Source organism: Homo sapiens, chromosome 16 (genome assembly GCF_000001405.40).
Source record: "Homo sapiens chromosome 16, GRCh38.p14 Primary Assembly".
Classification (NCBI taxonomy): Eukaryota; Metazoa; Chordata; class Mammalia; order Primates; family Hominidae; genus Homo; species Homo sapiens.
In genome coordinates, this window is record NC_000016.10 from 85,326,789 (window position 1) to 85,351,433 (window position 24,645).

Genomic DNA, 24,645 nt, shown 5'->3' on the forward strand with positions numbered 1-24,645 from the left:
CAAGCACGTGTGGGCACCTAGAAGGTGCTAGACGCTGTGGGGTCCCGATCAGTTTAAGACCCAGTCCCTGCCTGGAAACATTTCTTCCGGTTGTCTATTACCCGGTGACAAATCACCCCAAACTTAGCAGCATAAACCATAATCGCTGTTTTTGCTCACAGGTCTGTGATTTGCATAAGGCTCGGCAGGGAGGGCTGGTCCTGCCCCACAGGGCACCAGGGGAGGCAGCTCCCCTAGGGCTGGAGCATCTACTTCCAAGACAGTGCGTGCACCTACCACAGGGCTGCTAGATTGGTTTGGGCTTGTTTCTTTCCATGGGAGCCTCTCCCTGGGCAACCTGGGCTTCCTCACAACATGGTGGCAGGGTCCCAAGACCAGTGTCCCAAAAGAAAGAGCTGGATTACTTTTATGATCTGGCCTCCAAAGCCACAAGGCACCCGCCACTTCTACCACGTGCTATTAGCAGATGCAGACACAGAGCCCTCCTCCTGCCCGGGTCCAAGGGAATGGGGACAAAACTGGAAGGTTCTAAGGCCGGATGCGGTGGCTCACACCTGTAATCCCAGCACTTTGGGAGGCTGAGGTGGGCAGATCGTTTGAGGCCAGGAGTTTAAGACCAGCCTGGGCAGCATGGTGAAACCCTGTCTCTTCTAAAAATACAAAAATTAGCTGGGCATGGTGGCACATACCTGTAGTCCCAGCTACTCCAGAGGCTGAGGCAGGAGAACCATTTGAACCCGGGAGGCAGAGGTTGCAGTGAGCTGAGATCGCACCACTGCACTCCAGCCTGGGCAACAGAGCGAGACTCTGTCTCAGAAAAACAAAACAAAACATAAACAAAACTAGAAGGTTGTGGAAGAGCATGTCAGGTGGGAAATACTGTTGTGGCCATTTTTGGAAACTAGAATCTGGCACACATTGTGTTTGTTCCATCTTTGTGAAATAGAGGGTCAAGACTGCATGGATTCATACAGGCCATTGACCCTTTCCACATGCCCATTTTACGGATCAGCAAAACTGAGGTCCCGGGGGGAGAGTGAATTCTTAGGATCACAGACTCACAGCCTGTCATATACAGGCTATTTGGGAGGATGTTGTCTTTCCTCCTTGATACCACATTCCTGGAGTAGGGGGGCGGATGGCTCATCCTTGCCCTGGTGCCCCCCACCCCCAGATCGCCTGGTACAGATCCCTGGCCATGCATGAATCCAGCTGGCTGTGGTCAAGTGGACCCCCAGGTCATGTCCCAGAAGGTCACTCAGCCTTTTGGCCTCTCCTCCTTATGTTGGCCACACAGCATTGCATGCAGTAGGTGCTCAATAAATGCTTGGCTGCTCATGCCCAGCCGATGCCAGGAAGCTCGTTCTCACCAGGCCAGGGCAGAACATACGACAGCAGAGTTGGGGGGCCAGGCCTGGCAGGCCCCTTTCCGCTCCTCCTCCACAGCAAGCCCCCAGACGGGGCGAAAGGGCCTGGAATTCCCTGTCCAGGGTGGGGCTGTCACCCCAGAGAAGAGTCTCCTGGCCACTGTCTGCCCACAGCCTGTAGGGTTCCCCTTCCCCAGCCACCTCCTCAGAGGCGTCGGGGCTGCAGGAAGAGCCGGCTGAGCCAGATAAAGGCACAGCGGGGGCCGGAGGGAGCCGTTTTCCAACAAAGGAAGCCTGCGGAGGCCTTCCCCCGCCCGCCTAGACACTCCAGGCTCCTTTCAAGCTCTCAGCCGACTGGCGGGCTATTCAACTGCAGCACAAAATGGGGTGGGAGGTGCCCCTGCTTCCCAAGCAACAGAGAGGCAGAGCCATTTATTTAAAAGAAAAAAGCCACAACATGTTCCAGAATATTCCTCCTCAGAATGCAGGTCCCTTTGTGGGCCCTGCAGGGTCTGCAGTGGGGCAGGGAATTGGAGAGAGACAACGGGGCTGGGTCTCTCCCCGTAGTCATGTCCGTGCCCCTGCCGGGTCCTCACAGGTTCCGCCTCTGCAGTGATTGACAAGGCCTTGCGGCTGGGCGTCCCCGCCCCGGGGCCTCCCCGCCCCGGGGCCTCCCGCGGTGGAATGGATGGACAGGGACAGAGGAGACCACCCAGACCTTCCAGCTGCACCCCTGCCACCCCTGCCCCCGCAGCCTGGCAGAGGAAGAGGATGACAGGGCCTGCAGGGTGGCTGATGCCCCTCCAGGACTGGGGGCCCCAACCCTTCATCAGGGCCCAAGAGGGGCGTTCGGTGGGGGATTGAGGGGTGAGGTCAGCTGCCCCGCCCCTAGTGGAGCCAGAACCCCCGCGGCCCCAGTGTTCTAACACTTGAACTCTGCCCTAGGCTCCTCCCCCTCCCCCACAGCTCCCTGGGCCCCCCAGAAAGAGCCACAGCCTTGGCATCAAACCAAGCCCAGCTAGAAACCCAGCATCGCCCTTTAGGAGCTAGCCAAGGCCTGAGCTTTTCTGCACCTCAGTTTGTTCATCTGTAAAATGGGGGTGGACGCTGGCTGCCTCCAGGGCTGGTGTGTGAAGTGAGTGGAGAAGGACCTTCGGAGCACCCGTGTGCTGTGAATACAGGGCCTCAGCTCTGCTAGGGGCGGCGTGGGGAAGACATAGGGCGGGTGTGAGTCAGCCACTTCGGCTAAGCCTGGAACAGCCCCAGCCCCAGGGGCTGCGGGCTGCTGGAAGGATATTAGCCGGGTGCCCTGCTGGCTTGGGGGCTGCAGAGCCACCTGCAGGTGGACCCTCAGTCGGGCACCCGCTGGCCCCAGGCCTGGGTCTCCGCAGGCTGTGGGAGCCGCTCAGAGGCGCTCAGCAACAAGCCCCTGGGGGGCTGCGGGGTGCGGGGAGAGGGCAGGAGAAGGTTCGCCTGTGCCAAGGCTCATTAAGCGCCGGTGTTCTGAGGGGATTAGGCCGGAGCCAGCCGAGGATTCCTTGGGCTTGGTTATTAAAGGCTCCGCGCAGGGTAAACACCAGGCGCTTCCTTTCAGAGCCGCACCTGCTAATTAGAGGGCAAGGAACTCATTAAAACAGTAACTCCAGGGACTGCCTGGGAAGAAGGCTGGGGACGGGAGGGGAGGGAATGTGTGGGGAGGGCGGAGGGCAGGAGGGGAAAGGGCCAGGCATCAGGGGCAGGGGGCAAGGGGCTAGGGGGATGCAGGGGGCAAGAGGCTGGTGGGGGGGCAGGGGTAAGACCCCGCCCTCCAGGGGCTCCCATGCTTCCTGCTTTATTTTCTGCCCCCTGGCAGATGCCCCTGCCAGGTGCTCTGCAGTCTCCCCGGTGGGCTCCGAGGTGCACGTGTTCTTCCTGGTGGCGGCCAGGAGTGGGGAATGGGCAGAGCCACGTCTGTGAAATAAATGCCTGCTGTGCTGGGCCGAGCAGGGACCCCAGGGCTCATGTCCTGATCCCCTCACCAAAGAGGCTTTGCAGATGTGAGCTAGGGACTTTGAAACAGAATGTCCTGGTTTGTCCTTGTGACTGTCCTTAGAAGAGGGTGATGGAAGCTGATGCTGCAGGAGAGGAAGTGGGCTGCGTGGTGACAGACCGAGGAGCTGGAGTGCTGTGGGGTGGGGGCCACCAGCCAAGGAACGCAGGGGCCTGGAGAAGCTGGAAGAAAGGACGGGTAACAGTCTCCCCTGGAGCCAGCCCTGCCTACACTTTGACTTTAGTCCAGCAAGACCCAAGTCGGATTTCTGACCTCCCAAGAGGGTGGATATGTGTTGTTAGAGCCATTGTTCGTGGTCGCATGTTACAGCAGCCGCAGAACACAGAGACAGCCCCTCGCAGCAGGCGCCTCACCTGGGGCACTGTGAGGGGCTGCAGCGCCCCACTGCCATGTCGTCTGCCTCTGCCGATCCAGGAAGCGTGCAGGTGGGCAGGGGTGGGCACCGGAGGGCATGATGCATCATTTTTTGTATGTTTAAAATGTTTCATAATTAAACTGTGAAACGACATCTGCCCGGATCCCAGAGTCTGCCCCTCTCTGAGTTCTCCTGCCCCTCTTGGATAAATGTCAGTGGCCAAGCATGAGCCCTTGGGGCCCAGGGACACATCTTCCCTGTCTTTCTCTATCTCCCTCCTCCCTTCTTACCCCAGGCTTGGGAAGTCTGAGTGTTTCTGGAAGTCTGCTGCTGTGTGGGAATCACTCTTGTCTTGCTGCTTAAGACACGTGGGAGCTGTTAATGGCTCACATTTCAAAGCCTGGCTTTGGGGTAGGATTTAATGCAAGCCACCTAGTGGGGAGTTAGAGAGGTCATACCCTGCTATGTTGCTTTAGGCTGGGCACCTAGCCTCTCTGAGCTCAGGCGCTCCTCTGGAGATGGGAATGGAGACGGGAAATGCTTCCTGTCTTTGTTTTTTTATTGTTATTATTTATTTTTTAAATTTTTATTATTTATTTATTTATTTTTTGAGACCGACTCTCACTGTGTCACCCAGGCTGTAGTGCAGTGGCACGATATCGGCTCACTGCAACCTCCACCTCCCGAGTTCAAGCGATTCTCCTGCCTCAGCCTCCCAAGTAGCTGGGATTATAGGCACATGCCACCATGCCCAGCTAATTTCTGTGTGTGTGTGTGTGTGTGTGTGTGTGTGTGTGTGTGTGTGTATATATGTATATATATGTATATATATGTGTATATATGTATATATATGCGTATATATGTATATATGTATATATATGCGTATATATGTATATATATGTGTGTATATATGTATATATGTGTATATATGTGTATATGTGTATATATGTATATATGTGTATATATGTGTATATGTGTATATGTGTGTATATATGTGTATATGTGTATATATGTGTACATGTGTATATATGTGTATATGTGTATTTGTGTATATATGTGTGTATATATGTGTATATATGTGTGTATATATATATGTGTATATGTGTGTGTGTGTGTGTGTGTGTGTATATATATATATATATATATATTTTTTTTTTTTTTTTTTTTAGTTAAGATGGGGTTTCACCACGTTGCCCAGGCTGGTCTCAAACTCCTGACCTCAAGCGATCTGCCCACCTCAGCCTCCCGAAGTGCTGGGATTACAGGCATGAGTCACCGCGCCCAGCTACTCCCTGTCTTTGCAGTGCTCCTGAGGGTGTGCCTCCCATGTTTGGAAGCTTGAGGCGCAGGGCCTAAGACCTTTAATGAGCGCATGCAGCCTTGGGGCCTCTGGAGGAAGGGGTGTGTACACCTGAATCACCTTTATGGCAATTCTGCATCCAGAGGGTGCTTCCTGCCTCAAAGTAGAGGCTCTGGGGCCCTTTGGCAACCATCTGGGGGCTCCTGTCCTAGCCTGACTGCCCCAGGTCTGAAGTGGGGAGCCAGGGATGGGGCAGGGGGCCCAGACTCCCAGTCACACCCAAGCAAGTGGGACAAGTACCAGAGGTGACTCATATGTAGAGGTAAAAAGCACAACACCGCTGCTGTCTGTCCTTTGGGGTCCTGTAGCCGTCGGCCATGAGAGGGGGCTGCAGTGCCACCAACCCCTGGGTCTGTATGCCTTGGTCTCCCACTTACAGACCCAGATGGGTCGAATTCCTCCGTCTCCATAATCACACTAAGGAATGCGGTACATACCGAGCATGCACTGCAGGTGCTTTGTCCTTAACTCACTGAATCCTCCAGCAACCCTACGAAGTCAGGACTAATGTCCCCACTTTCCAGATGGGGTGGCAGAGGCTCAGGGAGGGGATGTGACTTCCCCAAGGTCACACAGCGGGATCCATAGCCAGCAGCTCTTGGTTAATATGACTTACGGTGTCCAAAGCCCCCTCCCCGTGTGCCTCCCCCGACCCTCAGCTGGTGGGACTGAGAAGCCAGGGCCGCACTGCTCTCTGCGGACCCTGCAGGACTCTCCTTCTCCCCTGGCTTCCTTTGCGCCACACCGAGGGGACTGGATGGTGTGATGCTTTTCCCACGCTGGATTTGGTTGTTTTCCTACCTGGAAACACCAGTTCGGCCTCTTCCTGTCTACACCTCCCTCTGAAACGCCCTTTCTCCCCCTCCAGCCTCTTCTCTCCTCAGAGTCATTGCTTGTCTTTTGAGTGCCCTTCATGGCGGGCCCAGGGGCCAGGCCGTGTGCTGGCCACCCAGGGAGGATGCTGTCCCACCTCAGAACCCCCCTTTATCCCCTGTACCAGCCGGGGCCTTTGTGATTGGTCTACACCAGCTTCTCAGACTGAACCCCCCTTGCTCCCAGAGTGTGTCCTTTCAGAGGCCACCAGAGACCATCACCACCAGGGACCACTTCTCCACCTGTCATCCCTTTGTACCCCGCCGCCTTGGACCCTTCTAGAAACCCCCAAATCAGCCAGCACTCACCCAGGGCTGCAGAGCTGGGAGGTGGACACTGAGCTTCACAGTGGGGAGGCTGGTGGGCAGGCCCAGCGTCTGTAGGGCTCATACCAGGAGGGGTGGCAGGGGAGCTTCTGTCACAAGTGGGTCCTCTTTCCTCAGGGAAGCCTCACCCTGGCTCTGAAGGCCTCCCAGCTGATCCACGCGGGCCCACCCAGGTCATCTAGAACAGTCTTCCTTACTGAGAGGGCAAAATCCCCTCCCAGCAGCCCCAGAGGCCAGTATGATGGAGCAACCCACCCCGTGCTGGCCCAGCCCACCAGGCTTCCCTTCCAGCCTCCCACCCGGCCTCCTCCTTGTCTCTCCTGCCGGCTCCTCTGAGTGCGGCTGCAGCCCGGCCTCGGGCCCTTCCACTTTGCCCACCTCACCCCCTTAGGGCTTGGGGGGCCTGGGTCAGGTGCCTGAGGCCAGCCTGCATCAGAAGCTGGCTCCGCCTCTTTACTGTATGTGGCCCTGGGCCTCAGTTTCTTCCTCTATACAATGGGGACAATAACATACCAGCCTCCTGGGAACTGGCTGGGTTACAGGAGAGCAAGTCTTTGGAGCTGGGCCGGCAGGCATGGGGGCCCAAAGAGGGTCCTCAGCTTTGGATCTGGACGCCTCTTCTGGAGATCTCACTTCCGGAGCACCCGCCATCTCTGCGTGGACATCCCATTGGGCCACTTCCCTCAGGGGGCCCCAAGCTGCAGCCTCCTCCTCCCCCCACAGCCCTGCCTGCCCTCCCTGACCCAGACGCCCCGTGCTCAAGCTTCCTCTGCCTGGACGCTGTTGACATTGGGGATGTCCCGTGCATGGCAGGATGCTGAGCTACGCCTTTGGCCTTTCCTGCTAGATACTACTGTGACAACCAAAATGTCCCCGTCAGCCTCGGGATCAACACCGTCTGTCCTCCAGGGCGTGGACACGGGGCCTCTGCTTTCCTCAGACCCGCTCCCTCTCCAGCCACTCCCCTGCTCCTGCCCTCACCATGTGCACTGACCAAGCTGTCTTCTGAGCCCACGCGGCCTTCCTCGTCCCACACATGATGCTGTGTCGGCACTCCTCTACTCTATGATCGACTTGGCTCCCTACTGCCCACGGACCTTGCAGGAGTCGAGCTGGTCCATCCAGAGTGTGGATGTGGAGCTGCCACTTGCCACCTGGTGGCCCTGGGCCTCACTGGCCTCTGTTTTGTCATCTGGAAAAAGTCATCCACGCCTCACAGCATTTCTGGAACTGAGTTTGGACAGGGCCTGCATGGGGGAGCTGCGCTGGGGTTGCTGGAGTCACCATCCTGTTGCCAAGGTCCCGCACTTGGGCCCTTCTGGCCCCCTCCAGCCATGATGAGCTCTCCTCTCCCGGCATCCCTTCTCTGCGTTTCCTCTCTCCTGTCTGTCCCCAGGTTCTGCTCATCCTTGAAGGACCTGGTGTCCCGACCAGAGGGTGGACTCTGAGGTGCAGGGGCAGTGCATTGACTTTTGGGGACGCTTGGCGTGGGGTGGGCCACTTGTGAGGAGCCCCTTATTGGGGCTATGTGTGACCCATGGAGGGAAGCCATTTTTCTTCCCCCTAAATGTGGGGGCTCAAGACCCACCACCCCAAAATATGGCTGTAGGAGACCAGAATGTGCCACCCCAAAATATACTTCATCAGCGTATTCACTGCCGGTTATTCTGAGAAACTGCGGAGCCAGGAGTCGCTCTGAAAAGCTGTCCTTTTGTAAAAGCAATTTGCATCTGTAAAGGAGAGCCGCTTTAGTGAGGTGTCTGCACCCGGAAGAGAGCTGCTCCAACAACTTTTATCACCAGGGAGACTTTATCTGCACAGCAAGACAAGCTTGATTCACCAGGCACTTCCTCCCTCACCTCCCGCCACCCCTGGAAGCCCCAGACCCCTGCTCCTTCCTTCAGCTCGGATGCTATCTGTACAAGCGACAGTCACCTGACCCTTGTTTGAGTTTCCCGTGCGGTGGGACTCCCGTGCCTGCGCATGTAATTAAACATGGTTTTTCTCCTGTTAATCGCTCATGTTGATTTATTCACAGCCCAGCCAGGGAACCTCGGAGGGTGGAGGGGAATCATTTTCTCTCCCTACACCCATCCCGGGAGGCCCCAGCTCTGAGCCCGGGGGTGAGCGGCCCTGAGTAGTTTTCGCTGACACAGCCCTTTGCCCCATGGTGGCACTGCTGAGGCCGGGAGCAGCCCCGGGCCCGGGTGGAGGGCCGTACTGTCTTGGCATTCTTTCCTCGGCAAGCGAGTGAGTTCAGTCGGCTTTTTAATCAGCAAGACCTTTGATCCAGCAGGAATGAGTAATTAGCGCGGAGCCGGGAGTGGGCAGTTGCAGGAGGCGGAGGCCGTGCTGTGCGGGCTGGCAGGAGGCGGAGGCCGTGCTGGGTGGGCTGGGCTCCCTGCAGGTGCTGGGGCGTGGGTTTGTGGGGTGAGGGAGTACATGGCCCAGAATAGGAGGAGGTACATGGGGTGAGGCCGTGCACCGCAAAAGGTGCCCGGCTCCTCCCACAGCCACTGCTGCAGGGTGGCAGTCTCATGCCCGGCACCACCAACAGTGACAGCAGCAATAACACTGTTGGCTGCCGGGAGAAAGAGAAGGAAAAGAGGAAGGGAAGAGGTAGAAGGGAGGGAGCCATGTCCATTTCGGAGTTGGGAACCCTGATGCCCAAATAAGCCAGTGCCTTGTCTGAGGCCTCCAAGCAGCCGGGCGCGCTGGGAGCAGGGCGGGACACCCTTCAGACCTGACGTCCAGTGTGGAGTTTCCCTGCCACCCCAGATGTCCCATAAAGAAGGCTCCAGCATGCTGACCGGCTGGCCTGAGTGGACTTCCAGCAGCTGGGGCTGGGGTCCCAGGAGGACAGAGCCAGGGCAGGACCGCATACTAGGACAGGTGGGACCCAGGCCTTCCTGGGACCCTAGTGTCTCCGAGATATGGAGGAACAGGGCGTGGAGGCTGCCCCTGCCCCGGGTTCAGGCCAGGGTCCTCCTGGAAGCCTTGGTGAGGACCCGGCTGCAGTTCTGCAGGACTCCAGGGTCACCAGGGGCTGACTGGGCAGCATCAAGCCTTGGTGCTTTAATGAGCTTCCATTAGCCCTCCTGACATGCGCCACTCCAGCAGTGTTTGGGGATTGGCTGATGGATTTTTGAGCCTTTGTTCGTTCCCTTGATTATTCATTCAACAAATGTTCATGAAGCCTGGCACTGAGCCAGGGGATGGCCCAGACTTTGCTCAAGGAGCTCCCGGCCTAAGCATCAGCTCATCAGCTTTTGAAGACAGAGCTTCAGAGATGCCGACCAGTCGGTGGCGTTCAGCACAGAAGGGGCAGAATCAGAGGTGCAGGATTAGGCCACCTGCAGCCTTGGTGGCTCGGGTAGGACACTGGTGGCTTTCTGCAGCCTGGTGGGCTGTGAGCCACTGAACAGTCTAACACACACGTGTGAGCATGTTCATGTGTGCACAGGACACACACATGCCCTCACAATTTTTTTTTTTTTTTCGAGTTGAAGTCTCACTTCATCGCCCAGGCTGGAGTGCAGTGGTGTGATCTTTGCTCACTGCACCCTCCGCCTCCTCAGTACAAGCGATTCTCCTGCCTCAGCCTCCTGAGTAGCTGGGATTACAGGCGCCTGCCACCACGCCCAGCCTTGCCCTCACAATTCTTATGTGCACATATGCATGCTCACACACAAGGCACTCATATGTATACATATGTCATGCCAAAATACATGCATGAACATTCACACGTTCACACATACACATGCTCACACAGGCACACACGTTCGTGTACACGCATGCCCACACAAATGCACACGCTGACATGCACACATGCTTGTATACACATAGGCACACATATACATGGGCACACACACAGACATGTACACACACATATCCACAGGCACATTTGCTATGCGCTTGATGCACACTGACACATATGCACACACCCTGGGTCTGCCCCCAGCATCGAGGGGCTGGCGACAGAGTGCAGACAGAAGCTCCTGCTGTTGCTGTCTCTTCTCACCCGCCACTGTGTCCCCCATCACACCAGGCCACGCCTGTGGGCACCCCCGCCTGCTCCTCAAAGCTCATGCTACCCTTTGGGCCTAGGCAGCACAGCCCCCTTAGGAGGACAGGCCTGAGGGGAGGCCCTGCACTTGGGCTCAGGACTTTTTTTTTTCTTTTCTTTTCTTTTTTTTTTTTTTTTGAGACGGAGTCTCGCTCTGTCGCCCAGGCTGGAGTGCAGTGGCGCGATCTCGGCTCACTGCAAGCTCCGCCTCCCGGGTTCACGCCATTCTCCTGCCTCAGCCTCCTGAGTAGCTGGGACTACAGGCGCCCGCCACCACGCCCGGCTAATTTTTTGTATTTTTAGTAGAGACAGGGTTTCACCGTGTTAGCCAGGATGGTCTCGATCTCCTGACCTCGTGATCCGCCCGCCTCGGCCTCCCAAAGTGCTGGGATTACAGGCGTGAGCCACCGCGCCCGGCCAGGCTCAGGACTTTCAAGCAGGGAAACCGGGGACCTGGCGCAGGGATGGGCTGGGGGCCAGTCACCTGGGCTGCACATCTCCTTGCCTTCAGGGGTCCATGGGTGTGGGCCAGGGCCGGGCTTCTCTCAGCACAGGGCCCAGGGCAGGAGTCCTGGTTGTCCAGGTCTCAGCAATGCTGCCACACCTGGCGTCTGAAATGGAAGCGTCAGCCTCTGCAGTTTTCACTGCATGCGGCGCCGTCAGTGTTCTCATTCCATTTGATTTTCTTTCTGAAAACCACTGGCCAAAGCCTCCGTATTGGTCTCAGGCAGGACCCAGCCTGGAGTTGGAGACTATGGAGCAGGTGACCTTTCAGGTTCTTCCCACCTCTGAGCTTTGAGGGTGCTGGGAACACCCCTGGGCTCTCCCTCACCTCTGGATCAAGAGAATGAACACAGAAGCCACGCCTTCCCTGTGCTGGACCTGTGGGTGCTGGCCCTGCTCGTCCTGCTCTTGCTGACCACCTGTCCTGTTCTTCCCTGGAGCCCTGAGCCTGGGCTGCCCACGGCAGGGCAGGGCAGGCTGCCTGGGCGTTGCCTGCTTCATCCTCCTTTCTCATCTCTGCACCGGCAGATCTTCCCCCTCAGCATCTCCAGATGCGCCTTTTTCCGTATCTTGCCTTCACCTCTGGGTGCATTCAGCTGGTGAACCTCTTTCCTGCAATGGGGCCACCCTGAGTGCCCTCCTAACCTTCCGGGCTGCTCTGAGTGGTAGATGTCCCCCAAGGTTAACAGTGCAGGCTGAGGATGACAGCGTATGTGTGCAGAGCTGGCTCTGTGTGACGTGAGGCAGCTGACTTACCCCTCCCTGCCTCAGTCTCCCCCTCCATCAAATGGGCGTATAATGATAGCACCTATGTCATAGGCATGTTTGGAGGATCAGGCAAGTAAGATTTGCAAAGTGCTTGAGCATTGCATGGCACATGTGGTGGCTAAATAATTTAAATAACATTAAATAATTAAGGGGTTACCATCAGGGGAAATAAAATCAGCTAGGTTTTATCCAGCGGCTCCTAAAGGCCCGGTAGTAGTCTAAATACACCCATCTTGAGTCACTTTTTTCCCCCTGTGAGGTAGCTAGTAGGTACTGTCATTGTGACCATTTTACAGATGAGGAAGCTGGGGCCCAGAGAGGTTTAATCACTTCCCCGTGGCCACACAGCCCGCAGTAACCGAGTCAGTGCGTGAAGCAGGGCAAGCTGTGATGGACAGGTGCTGCTGCCGGTGGCGTTACTCTCGTGATACTGCTGAGGATGGAATGAGCGCGTGTCTGCAGAGCTTGGCCTGGCCCGCAGCAGGCAGAAGCATGGGGCATCTCATCCTGTGAGCGTCGTCGGTTTCGGTGTTGGGGCGGGTGTTTGGGTGGACTCGCAGCTGGGCATGTTACCACCCCCCACCGCTGTGACTGTCATGGGCAGGTGGATGCCCCCAACCCTGCTCTCTTCCCCTGAACCTTTGCTGTCACCTGGAAGGGAGGGAGGTCACTGGGTCTGGTGTCATTTCCCTCCCCACCAGCCAGGCCAGTAGCCAGGCCCGTAGTAGTTCTCATGGCTATTTTACGTGATTGCAAATTGATTTTCCCAGTGATCTGTTCTAGAGTCCACCTGGGCGTGGATGCCAAGCTGGCTGACCCGGGATTTCCAGCCGGCGACATCCTTTTCCTCCTGTGGAAGGGGCACATTTGTCTTTGCCTGGACCCAGGGCTGTGCTCGCTCCAGCCGTGATTTCTCCGGACAAATGGCCGCGGTGCTGACGAGGCCCTGGCACGACTCTGCCTGCTTGCTGCGCCCTTTCTAGAAGCTTCTGCCTTTTATTTCCTATGTTTCCTTTTCCCCTTTCCACCCCAACTGGGACTCACTTCAGTCAATTATTCCCTTCAGATCTTTTCAGGGAAGGCGGCAGTGAAAAGGCACTAAAATTGCTGTCTTCTCAATGTTCTCCCATTATTAGATTTCTTTCCGTGGATGTGCGGAGGGGGAGGGGGGCAGAGAGAGGCGGCGGGCGCAGGGTGGGGGTGGGGGCGGTTCTTTTTAATCTTTCCATTTTTCTTCTCTTTAAAAAAATGACTCTTAATCCTTTGCTGGTGAGAGTCTTAGACTCTGGAATTGTGTCTTTATGCCAGGGGACGGCGTCTGCATTTTCATTTTTGGTGACTTTCGTGTTTGCCTATGGAACCTGAAGGAGTGGATATACATCGTCTGTCTTCTTTTAACCTGAAATGTCAGCTTCACAGAAGCCGGATCTTTCCCTGTCTTACTCACTGCCAAGTCCTCAGTGCCAAGAACGGTGCTTGGCCCAGGGCGGGGGCCAGATAAATAATTTAAAATTCACTAACAGGCTTGTTTTATGTCCCCTGGTCCCCACCTCTCTCAGCACAGCTTTGAGCTTAGACAGTGGGCTTTAGGTACATTTCTGAATCTCAGTCGATAAAGGTGTATCCAGAATGGAAACAGATGGTACAAATCGTTTAAGAATCATCATGCAAGGCTGAGCCCAGGAGTTCAGACCAGCCTGGGCAACACAGTGAGACCCCATCTATACAAAATATAGAAAAAAATTAGCCGGGTGTGGTGGCGTGTGTCTGTGGTCCCAGTTACCTGGGAGGCTGAGACAGGAGGATCACTTGAGCCCACCAGTTCGAGGCTGCAGTGAGCGGTGATTGCACCACTGCACTCCAGCCTAGGTGACAGAATGAGACCCTGTCTTAAAAACAAAGGCGGGTATGGTGGCTCATGCCTGTAATCCCAGCACTTTGGGAGACCGAGGCAGGAGGATCACTTGAGGTGAGGAGTTCGAAACCAGCCTGGCCAACATGGTGAAACCCCATCTCTACTAAAAATACAAAAAATTAGCTGGGTGTGGTAGTGCACACCTGTAATCCCAGACACTCGGGAGGCTGAGGCAGGAGAATCGCTTGAACCCGGGAGGAAGAGGTTGCAGTGAGCCAAGATCGCGTCACTGTACTCCAGCCTGGGCGACAGAGCAAGACCCTGTCCCAAAAACAAACAAAGAAAAAACATCTTCACGTGAGCTGTTCGGGACCAGCTCCTGATACCATTGTGTGTGGTGCGTTCCTAGCTTGGGTTTAAGAATGAACAGAGACACTTCCTGCAGGTCAGCAGGTCAAGGGGTTTCTCCCACATGTCAGGCTGACAGGCTCTGCAGGTGGCTGGGAGGGTGGGACGGTGCGAGGGTGGGCTGGAGCCCTGAGCTGCTCCACTCCCGGCTCTGCCCAGGCCCCCAGTCTAGGAGGTTTTGCAGCCTCTCTGAGCCTCTGCACGAGTTTCCTCATCTGGAAAATGATGATGATAATGGCAGTGTCTACCTCACAGGCTGTGGCAAGGATTAAGTGAGTTAAAATATGTGGAAAGTATTTAAAACAGAGCAGGGCACAGAGCAGATGCTGCACCTGTGTTGATTATTATTTTATTGCCATTATACTTATTATTCTTCCATCCACTGAATTGAAACCTTCCTGACTGCTGAAAGTCAATTCATCACTGCATGCAAGAACATGCGAGTTTTTCTAAGCTCTCTAGGGGCTCTGTTGTTTACTTTTTTTTTTTAAATAAACAGGGTGTTGTTCTGTCTTCAGGTTAGAGTGCAGTGGATCTCAGCTCACTGCAGCCTTGACCTCCTGGCCTCAAGTGATCCTCCTGCCTCAGTCTCCTAATCAGCTGGGATCACAGGCATGTGCTACCATGCTGAGCTAATTTTAAAAATTTTTGTAGAGGCCAGGCGTAGTGGCTTATGACTATAATCCCAGTACTTTGGGAGGCCAAGTCGGGTGGATCACTTGAGGTTAGGAGTTTGAGACCAGCCTGGCCAACATGATGAAACCCCGTCTCTACTAAAAATACAAAAATTAGCTGGGCTTGGTGGCAGGCACCTGTAATCCCAGCTACACGGGAGGCTGAGGCAGGAGAATCGCTTGAACCCGGGAGGCAGAGGTGCAGTGAGCAGAGATCACACCACTGCACTCCAGCCTGGGTGACTGAGTGAAACTCTGTCTCTAAATAAAAATAAATAAAAATTTTGTAGAGATAGGATGTTGCTATGTTGCCCAGGCTGGTCTCAAACTCCTGGCCCTAAGCAATCCTCCTGCCCTGGCCCCCCAAAACACTGGGATTACAGGTGTGAACCACTTCACCTGGCCTGTTATTTACATTTTTTAATGTGTGAGTTTCAGATGGGCATCAGGCTTTAGGGAATAAGGCCTCGTGGTGATGGCTAGGGTTGGATCCTAGCCTTGCCTGCTAACGAGCCAATGGCCTCAGTCCCTGGGCCTTTGGGGATGCTCAGGACATACCCTCGGTCTCTCGGCAGTGGAATAGAGACCGGCAGGTGGTCTCTCTATCCCTGGGCTGCCTGCCGTCCCTCCACAGGGACTTGCAGGTGAGCAGGTGGGATTGTGTCTGCAGGGCCCGGTGGCCAGCCCTCCAGCCCATCACTGCCACCTCCCTGACACCTCGGGACCCACCAAGCAGAAGTGATATCTCCTGAGGCTGTTTGCTGTGGCTGTCACTGTGTTTCCATGATCCCGTGACAGAAACCCTGCCCTGGCGTTAACTCACACTGTAGCCAGTGCATCCGGACGTGTATTTTTAAAGGGTATAATTTCTATCAACTTCAATTAGAGCTATTTTTATGTTTGTCACCCTGAAGAATTTCCCTGTAGCTGAGCTGCCATTTTTCACTGTAATACCCTTGGCAGGGGCTGGGGAAGAAATTAATAGTCTAGTGATCACTTTAGCTAATGCCCTGTCAGCGCTTGAGAAACTGACTGCCCTGGGTGAGGCGGCTCTGCTCCTTCAGTCATTGTGTCACGCTCATCTGCGGTGGCCCACGCTTGAGCTGAGAGCTCAGGGCGTGGGCCTCGGCAGCCCCACCAGCCCCCACTCTCATATCCTTTTGGGAGACCTGCTGGATGAATTCCTCCTCCTCAGAGCGCATGTGTTGAGGATCTGTCTCTGTGAGGTTCAAGGCGCACCAGGGCGAGAGTCTGTCATCTTCAGGCTGTCTGACGTTTGGCAGTCTGTTAAACATCTCTGAGCCACATCTAAACAGGGAGCACACCCTAAGGATTAGCTGTTCATAGCCACTGGCCTCCCCAGCCCGGGACATCAGAGGAGGCGATGGTAGGGTGAAGGGAGCACTGTGCTCCACAGGTGCCTAGCAAATGGGGCATCCCTGCTGGTTCCCCCTTTTCAGCGGCACCCCCTCTCCATGCACAAATTGTACCCCTCTCCAAGCCATTTGTGCATGAAGAGGGGGTGCCGCTGAAAAGGGGGGCCAGCAGAGAAAGCCGGGCACAGGCTCTGAAGATAGGAGGGGGTGGCAGGCAGCAGGGAGTGGGGAGCAGAGGCTGTGGAGAAGGCCTGGGGGTGCAGAGGGAGCAGCTGAGCTGCTGGATGTGCCTCCCTCAGCCTCTCAGGGAGGAAGGTGCTTCTTGATCCTGTTAAACCCAAAATCAGCAAGCAGTTCAACAAAGCGTGGCGCGTCCACACTACGGCACGCTCCTCAGCAATGAAAAGAAACAAAGCATGGGTGCACAGGGCAACCTGGGTGCATCTCCAGAGGACCGCGCTGAACGGGAAGGCCAGCCCCAAAGGACCGAGCACTGTGTGATTCCATTTCCATTACGTGCTTGAGGTGACCGAGTTCTAGAATGGAGAGCAGATTAGCGGTTATCAATTCCTGCTTGTGGCGGGTACTACAGTGAGCAAGGGGTTGCCCTTGGAGGCTGGGTGAAGGGTGTCGGGGATGGCTCCATTACTGCTTACAGCTGCAAACAAATCTGCAGGTATCTCAGCTTAAAAAGTTTGCCCGGCCCAGTGGCTCACACCTGTAATCCTAGAATTTTGGGAGGTTGAAGCAGGAAGGTCGCTTTAAGCCAACAGTTCGAGATGAGCTTGGACAACATAGCCAGACCCCATCTCTACAAAAAATAAATAATTAGCAGGGCATATGGTGGTGCACGCCTGTAGACCCAGCTACTGAGGAGGCTGAGGTGGGAGGATCGCTTGAGCCCAGGAGGTTGGGGCTGCAGTGAGCTATGATTGCACCACTGCACTCCAGCCTGGGCAACAAGTGAGATCCTGACTCAAAAAAAGTTGAAATTTTAAAAAGGCAAAAATCAAAATGATGTCTCTTCAGCTCGGAACATCCAGCAGGCTCCCCTCTCACTGCGAATGAGATCCAGAGTCCTCCCGGGGACCTGTGGGAACCTCCAAAATGGGACCCATTGCTTCCCTAGCTCCTCCCGTGCCACTTGCTCCTTGCTCTTCCTCAAATGCAACCGGGCACAGTCCCGTCTCAGGGCCTTTGCACTGGCCATTCCCCGCGCCTGAAACACTATTCCCCCAGGAACATGGCTCCTTACATAACTCAGATACGTCTCCTTCAGCGGCTGTGCTGAGGACGCCGTGCCAGGGCCTGGGAGTGCTGTTCCCAGGTTGCTGATGGTCTGGGGGTGCGGATCTGCAATCCAAATCTCTGGCACTGGGATGTGGCACTAATGGACATGGGGTGGGATGCGGCCAGCCCTGCCCGGCGGGGGAGCTAGGGATAGTGCCCAGGGGAAAGGGTACGGTCCCTGGCTGAGGAGGAGGCAGAGAACATTTCTGGGAGAAAGGCAGGGGGCATTTTATGATGGGAGGGGACTCCTAGGCAGTTGGCAAGGTTTGTGAGCAGCCCGCGCGTTGCTTTTGCCCGGAACCCTGGGCCGAGCGGGGTCCTGCCCGGGGAGCCTCCTTGGCTGACTGCCCGAAGCTCCCAGGACGACAGCAGCCCTTGTTTCGGGGCTGAGAGCTGCCCTCCTGAGAAGCTGTGATGGGACAAATGTGTAGAGGACAGGTGTGCGGGGCACATTTGATGGGCACCAGGAGCATGTGTGAAGCGCAGGGCTGCTCCCCGTTTATCCTTCAGTGCCCTTGGCGGGCCAGGCCCTGTCCCAGAGCTTCACAACACAGACTCATTGGCCCTTGCGGCTGCCCCAGGAGGCTGGCACTGTCACTGTTTCCATTTCACAGATGGGGTAGCCAAGGCCCAGAGAGGTAGAGCCACTTGCCTGCAGGCACACAACTCGTCAGGTGGTGCTGGACTTTGAAGCAGGCAAGGCTGAGTCTATGCCCTCAGCCCCAGCAGGATGCAGCTTCCCAGGCTGGAGAGAGAAGGGAGGGGAGGAGCCGGTGGTGTAGACAAGCTGGCTGGTGCCATGTGTGCTTCAGAACGAGCTGTCTGCCGCCTTCAGGCAGATGCAGGTGACCCGTGGGTGCTGCTGTAGCCAGCTCTGCTCTGCCCTCACCGTGGCTCACAGGTTCGCCTCTTCTGTCAAGACTCAGCCGCCCCCTCCCACAGGCCCTCCTCCCTGACGGGTTTTGCCTACAAGAAACTTCCTTGTGTTTAGGAGTCGGCGTACACCGTGCCCCACCTCCCACCCCCTCCTAAACCCCAGGCCTCCTCTCTGCTTCTAGAGCAGGGGCCTGCGGGCCAAGTCCAGCTGGCTGCCTGTTTTTGGATGGCCCATGAGCTAAGAAAGGCTTTCACGTTTTTAAATGGTTGCCAAAAACAAAACCCAAAGGAAGAACAGTATTTCACCACAGATAAAAATTATATGAAATTCAAATTTTAGTGTCCGTAAATAAAGTTTTATTGGAACAGCCACACATGTTCATTTAGGTATTGTCTGAGGCTGCTTGGGTGCTGCAGTGGCAAAGCTGAGTGGTTTTGACAGAGACCATTCAGCCCACAAAGCCAAAAAATACCATCTGGCCCTTTAAGAAAAGGTTTGCAAATGTGCTGCTGCCTCTGGGCCATTGCGCTTGCTGTTCCTTGTTCCAGGAACACTCTTCCCCAGCTATCTCTGTGGCTAGTGTCCTCGTTTCCTTCAGGTCTTTTCACAAACATCCTCTTCTCAGTGTGGCCAGCCTATGGAAAATGATATCTCTACCATTGCCCACCCATCCGTTACTTTCTCCACCCACCCGCCCTTCTCTCCATCCTGTTCTTGTGCTGTTTGTCCTTATGGCACTTCCTACTGATGGACAGATGAACAGTTTGTTTATTCATACTCATGTTAAAATACTGTGTGTCTCCCCAGCCAGAATGTCAGCAGGGATTTTTAGCTGTTTTTCTTGCTGCTACATCCCAGGCACAGAGCCTAGCACATAGTTGGTACTCAGTAAATGTTTACTGGATGAATGGATTGATGGATGATGAGCAAATGGACAGGTGGATGAGTGGATGAACAGTGGATATGTGGATGGGTGGATGGATGACTGGATGGACAGATAGATAGATGGTGGACACATGGACACGTCAATGAATGGACAGATGGATGGGTGGATGGATAGATGCATGGACAGAGGGACAGGCAGTGGACAGATGGACAAGTGGATGAATGGATGGGTGGATGAACAATGGATAGGTGGATGGATGCATAGATGGAGGGGCGGGCGGGTGGATGATGGATGGATGGATGAACAATGGATGGGTAGATGGATGGATAGATGGAGGGGCGGGTGGGTGGATGAATGGATGGATGGATGAACAATGGATGGGAAGATGGATGCATAGATGGAGGGGCGGGTGGGTGGATGATGGATGGATGGATGATGGATGGGTGGATAGATGATGGACAGATGGATGAATAGTGGATGGGTGGATGGATGATGGATGGATGGATGATGGGCAGGTAGATGGATGGTGGACGAGTGGATGGATGGTGGGCAGGTGGGTGGATGATGGATGGATGGATGATGGGCGGGTGGATGGGTGATGGACAGGTGGATGGTGGATGAGTGGATGGATGGGCTGATGGGTGGATGATGGATGGATGGATGATGGACAGGTAGATAGATGGGTGATGGATGGATGGTGGATGGGTGGATGATAGGCGGGTGGATGGGTGATGGACAGGCGGATGGTGGACGAGTGGAGTGATGGTGGGCAGATGGGTGGATGATGGATGGATGGATGGATGGATGATGGACAGGTAGATGGATAAGTGGTGGATGGATGATGGATGGATGATGGGTGGATGGATGAGTGATTGACAGGTAGATGGATGGTGGATGAGTGGGTGGATGGTGGACAGGTGAGTGGATGGTGGGCAGGTGGGTGGACGGTGGATGGATGGATGGATGGACAGGTAGATGGATGAGTGGTAGATGGTGGATGGATGGATGGATGGATGATGGGCAGGTGGATGGGTGATGGACAGGTAGATGGATGGTGGATGAGCGGATGGATGGTGGACAGGTGAGTGGATGGTGAACAGGTGGGTGGATGGTGGACAGGTGGGTGGATGGGTAGATATGAGGGTGTGACAGAAATGTGGATGCAAAGCTGAGCTGAACCAAATAACGTGGCTCTTAGATGTCACGTGACAGGGTCAGAACTTTGGTAAGGGGTTGGCGGGATAAGTGTGGTGTTTCAGGAAGGCCGCTGCTCGGTGGTGTTGAGAGCTGTGGCTGGCAGGGCTGTACACCCAGGTCTAGCCGGAGGCTCTCACCCTTGGAGGCAGGAGATGAGCAGGTATGGGGCAGGCTGGGGGTTGGGGAATACCTCTGGGGCTGGGAGGGGTCCCTGGGAGAGACAGGATGTCCGTGGTGAGCCGGTCTGAGCTCAGCCTAGCTCCCACTGCCAGCCCCTAGGAGGAGGTTCTTGGGCTGATGCCAAGGTCTCAGGGCCTCCACATCTTGGGGCGCTGGCCTCTCACCCTGGCCCGGCTGGATTCCCCAGCAGCACCCAAGCGCCCTGTTGCCTGACAGCCATGAGGAGGCGCTCTTGCCTCAGCAAGCAGTGAGCTCCTGCCCTGTGCCAGCCTTTCAAGGGACCATCAGCTGCCTCCGAGCCTGAGTGTGTCCTGAGGCTGTCAGTTTCGTCAACATGGATGGATCCCCGCTTTCTAGTGACCCTCCTGGAAAGACCCGTGCCCCACCCGCCCATCCCACAGTGGGATCAGACACAGCAAGTGCACCAATGTTTCTGTCGCCAGTGACCTCATCCATATAATGGGACACACAGTTCCTGCCTCACTGAGTTGTTTAAGGCTTAAATGGGTCAGCCCCTGCAGGGACAAGCTCAGGCCTGGCCCTCAGTAGATGCTGTGGACATAGTGGCTGCGGGCATTGCAAAAGCCATCTTTGCCACAAGCTTCCGCTCTAGGACCTTCTGTTCCACCTGGTCAGGGACAGACAGCAGCTCCTGGGCTTGGGGACAACCCCAGTGTCAACTGAACCCAGATTTTTCAGCCCCAGCAGCCCTCGAGGCCTTGAACCAGGGACTTTCTTGTCTTCCAATGACAAGCTTTTCTTTGCGGCAGGCGGGGTGGGGTCCCCTTCTTTCTTCTACTCTTTATGTAGCAAAGGCATTCATGGACTTCTTGCGCTAAGTTGGAGTGCACAGCTGCCTCATGGTCCAGGACGCATGGTCCAGGGCTCGAAAAAATAAAAAGGCGGTTCTGCCCCAGGCTTCAAGTTTGGCCAGGCCACCTACCTGTCCTCCATCCATCCATCATCCATCCACCCATTCACTATTCATCTATCTGTCCATCATCTGTCCACCCATCTATCATCCATCCACCTGTCCATCATCCATCCATCCATCATCCACCCACCTGCCCCTCCATCTATCCATCCATCCACTGTTCATCCATCCATCCATCCATCCATCCATCCACTGCCTATCCATCTGTCCATTCAGTCCATCAACCCATCCAGTTTAAAGCTATGGGTGGGACTCTCAGCTCCACCTTTGCGGAGGAGGAAGCTGAGGCCAGGAACATGACATGGAGAGGCATTCCCTAGATTACCTTCACTCCCGCCCAGGTCCCAGCTCTTTCTTGGTCACCCGGCTGCATCTGGCCCCTTTGTCCACTTGATCTTGGCCACTGCCCATCCATGAAATGCAGGCTCCTTTCCCTAACCCAGACATCCGGGGCAAGGTGCTCTGTGCCTGCTGGAAGAGGATCCAGCTGGACAACCTCTGCCCACTTTCTGTCCGCTCAGCCTCAGTTTTCCCATCTATAAAATGGGTTGGTCATTCTCACCTGGCCTGCCTGGCTCTGGATCGTGCTTTTGTGCATGTGTTTCGTGGATTGTCCAGGAGACTCGGGCAGCTGCAGCCAGCCGTCACCTGGCCAAACTTGAAGCCTGGGACAGAACTGCCTTTTTATTTCTTCAAGCCCTGGACCATGTGTCTAATTGAGCTTCTGTTGTCCTCCCTCCCTCCAGCCCCCGAGAGATGGGGGAGAGTCTGATCCTGACCCCCCAGCTGCGGCGCCCTGCCCGAGACAGCCAACCCCCACCGCCCTGCCGCTCCCCAACCCCAGCCGGGAGCGCTGCAGCCGGAGCGGCCCTAATTGCAGTCACAGATGTGGCAGCCACCAGCCTCTCCCGCGCGATCTGCCGTGTGGCGTGTGCTTAATTAGTCCCTGATTACTCATTTGCCGGGTGCTGTGTGTATTCCATATCTAATAACTTTCCAATTACACCCGGTCGCCAGCGCACATTTAATAACCCTTTAGTTGTCTGCTTATCAGGGACTCTGCATTCGGCATCTCCAATCTCCCCCTGACCCGAAGCCTTATCATTCCCTTTATTGCAGTATTTGGAGCCTCTGCTTGCCATTATGGAGCTATTACAGGGAATTAAGGGGCGTAAAATACTGTTTTTGGCTTCTGACACACTAGCTTGCAGCACAGAACAAGAAATCCCATCAGGGCAGGTTGAGCAGAATGTCTTCGTAGGTGGGCTTTGGTGCGGGGCCACAGCGGGTCAGGACAGCGGGAGAAGAGGGCTCCCGTGGCAGGGCTGGCCTGTCCATGTTCCCTTCTCTCCCTCCCTGGCAGACGACAGCACTGGTGCTGCAACCTGAGTGTCCCCAGCAGGGGCAGGGGCCTCTGGCCAGCCCGGGAGGTGCTCCTGGGCTGGCTGTGCCCGCCGCCCTCCCTAGCCAATGCACACACCCTGCCAGCGCCCTGGGGAAGGGACTGTCTTTCCCCCTACACTTGGCTTCGTGCCTGTGCTTGATTTTTCCTCGGGGCGAAGAGGAGGCGACGCCGTGTTCTTTTGTGTTGTCAGGATGCTGGCGTCTCTTCCCCCTCCTGCGGTTGTGTTCCTTGTCTCATCTTCCCTGCTTTGCTCTTGAGATAAATCAGCCTCAGCCCATCAGCAAACCTCCCCTCTCTGCCATTCACCAGCAGCACAAACCTACTTGCCCCAGAGTGCGGCCTGGGTTGCTGTACGGCCGCTAGGCGTGGGGGTGCAGAACCAGGCTCTGCCAGTGTTTACTGAGCACCTACTGTGCCCTGGACACTGTGCGGGGACTAGGTACTTGACAGAGGACACATGCTGGCCTGCATTCTCGGCTCTCACTGTGACCAGCTGGGTGACGTTGGGCAGCTGACTTGACTTCTGAGCCTCTGAGAATTCAGGTGGGGTTGCTGGGATGATTAAATGGGCTGCCGATGGCAGGTGCTCAGCTGGCACCTGGCACATAGTAGGTACTCGGGACAAGTAAGGCAGGGGTTACTAGCCCACTTTCCGGAGACATCAGCTGAGAGCCAGAGCAGTTGTGGCTCGCTTGGTTTCTCCTAGTCACGCCAGCAGGTGAGTGGCAGCTTGGACTCAGGCCTACGTGTGTTTTACTCAAGATCAGCAGTGCCGGCTTCCTGGGGTGCACCTGGAGCTTGCTTGGAAGGAAGAGATGATTCAGGCTGGTCAGGAAAAGTGGGTGAGCCCTGTTCTCCTGACATTTAGCTGTTCAGAGCATCCTGCCCCTGTGACTTCAGGGACCCTAGACTGTCATGGGGCTCCAGGCCAGCAGCTAGGAGACAGCCCTGCCAGCTGGAGCCGAAACTGCCCAGCAGCCAGGGTGTGAGGGACACTGGACAGGCCCCGCCCCCACCATCTGCACCCAAGGCCAAGACGCCTTCCCCAGCACACACCCCTTCAAGCTTTGAGGGGCCATGAGGTCACCGTGATGCTTTGATTCTTGTTCCTGATGTTCCTGCTCTTAGTTCATGGGATCAGCTAGTTTGTTGAGAACCTGCTATGTTCCAAGTGCCTTAGCAGAAGAGTTCGTTGAATTTCCTCCGTCATTCCTCTTGGAGGTAGGCACTGTGTTGTCACTATCATTTTTTCTTCGAGACGGACTCTTGCTCTGTCACCCAGGCTGCAGTGCAGTGGTGCAATGATCTCAGCCCCCTGCAACCTCTGCCTCCTGGGTTCAAGTGATTCTCCTGCCTCAGCCTCCCGAGTAGCTGGGATTACAGGCGCCCACTACCGTGCCCGGCTAATTATTGCATTTTTAGTAGAGACAGGGTTTTGCCATGTTGGCCAGGCTGGTCTCGAACTTCTGGGCTTAAGTGATCTGCCTGCCTCGGCCTCCCAAGGTGCCACTCTCATTGTACTCAAAAGGAAACCAAGGCCTGGAGGGGTGAATCACTCTGCTAAGATCTCCCAGCTGGGAGAGTAGCCAAGACCTGGGGCACCAGCTGTGCCCTGCTACAGAGGAGGCCGGGAGATGGAATCTGGCTGGATGCCCAGGAGGGAGAGGGAACTGGCTGCATGAACAGCCAACCAGTTCCTGCCGAAGAGGCTCCTGGAGAAGGGAATTCTCTGTCCAGCAGCCCCTGGGCTGCTGTGGGTCCTCAAACTGGAATGTCCTTTATTGTTCAAAATACTGGGTTTACACACTACAACATGACAAACCTGAAAACATGGTGCTAACTTTAAAAAGAAGGCAGCACAAAAGGCCACATATTGGATTTGTATGAAATGTCC

The 24,645-nt window shown here is 55.5% G+C and overlaps 1 protein-coding gene across 4 annotated transcripts in view, besides 5 other annotated features; it reads left to right on the plus strand.

The window, feature by feature from the left end:
* GSE1 (Gse1 coiled-coil protein) overlaps positions 1-24,645 on the plus strand; it is a 506,689-nt gene that overhangs the window by 157,277 nt on the left and 324,767 nt on the right. The window lies entirely within an intron of this gene.
* Positions 994-1,562: an enhancer, noted in NCBI's record as "OCT4-NANOG-H3K27ac-H3K4me1 hESC enhancer chr16:85361388-85361956 (GRCh37/hg19 assembly coordinates)". NCBI's record gives its function as "activates a minimal SCP1, AML or CMV promoter by ChIP-STARR-seq in primed H9 embryonic stem cells {active_cell/tissue: H9 hESC(primed)}" and the evidence as "EXISTENCE:reporter gene assay evidence [ECO:0000049][PMID:30033119]".
* Positions 1,563-2,130: an enhancer, noted in NCBI's record as "OCT4-NANOG-H3K27ac-H3K4me1 hESC enhancer chr16:85361957-85362524 (GRCh37/hg19 assembly coordinates)". NCBI's record gives its function as "activates a minimal SCP1, AML or CMV promoter by ChIP-STARR-seq in naive and primed H9 embryonic stem cells {active_cell/tissue: H9 hESC(naive and primed)}" and the evidence as "EXISTENCE:reporter gene assay evidence [ECO:0000049][PMID:30033119]".
* Positions 3,837-4,404: an enhancer, noted in NCBI's record as "NANOG-H3K27ac-H3K4me1 hESC enhancer chr16:85364231-85364798 (GRCh37/hg19 assembly coordinates)". NCBI's record gives its function as "activates a minimal SCP1, AML or CMV promoter by ChIP-STARR-seq in naive H9 embryonic stem cells {active_cell/tissue: H9 hESC(naive)}" and the evidence as "EXISTENCE:reporter gene assay evidence [ECO:0000049][PMID:30033119]".
* Positions 19,907-20,183: a silencer, noted in NCBI's record as "fragment chr16:85380301-85380577 (GRCh37/hg19 assembly coordinates)". NCBI's record gives its function as "represses an EF-1alpha promoter that drives an FKBP-Casp9 reporter gene in an ReSE screen in phorbol 12-myristate 13-acetate-treated (for megakaryocytic differentiation) K562 erythroleukemia cells {active_cell/tissue: K562(+PMA)}" and the evidence as "EXISTENCE:reporter gene assay evidence [ECO:0000049][PMID:32094911]".
* Positions 22,841-23,479: an enhancer, noted in NCBI's record as "H3K4me1 hESC enhancer chr16:85383235-85383873 (GRCh37/hg19 assembly coordinates)". NCBI's record gives its function as "activates a minimal SCP1, AML or CMV promoter by ChIP-STARR-seq in primed H9 embryonic stem cells {active_cell/tissue: H9 hESC(primed)}" and the evidence as "EXISTENCE:reporter gene assay evidence [ECO:0000049][PMID:30033119]".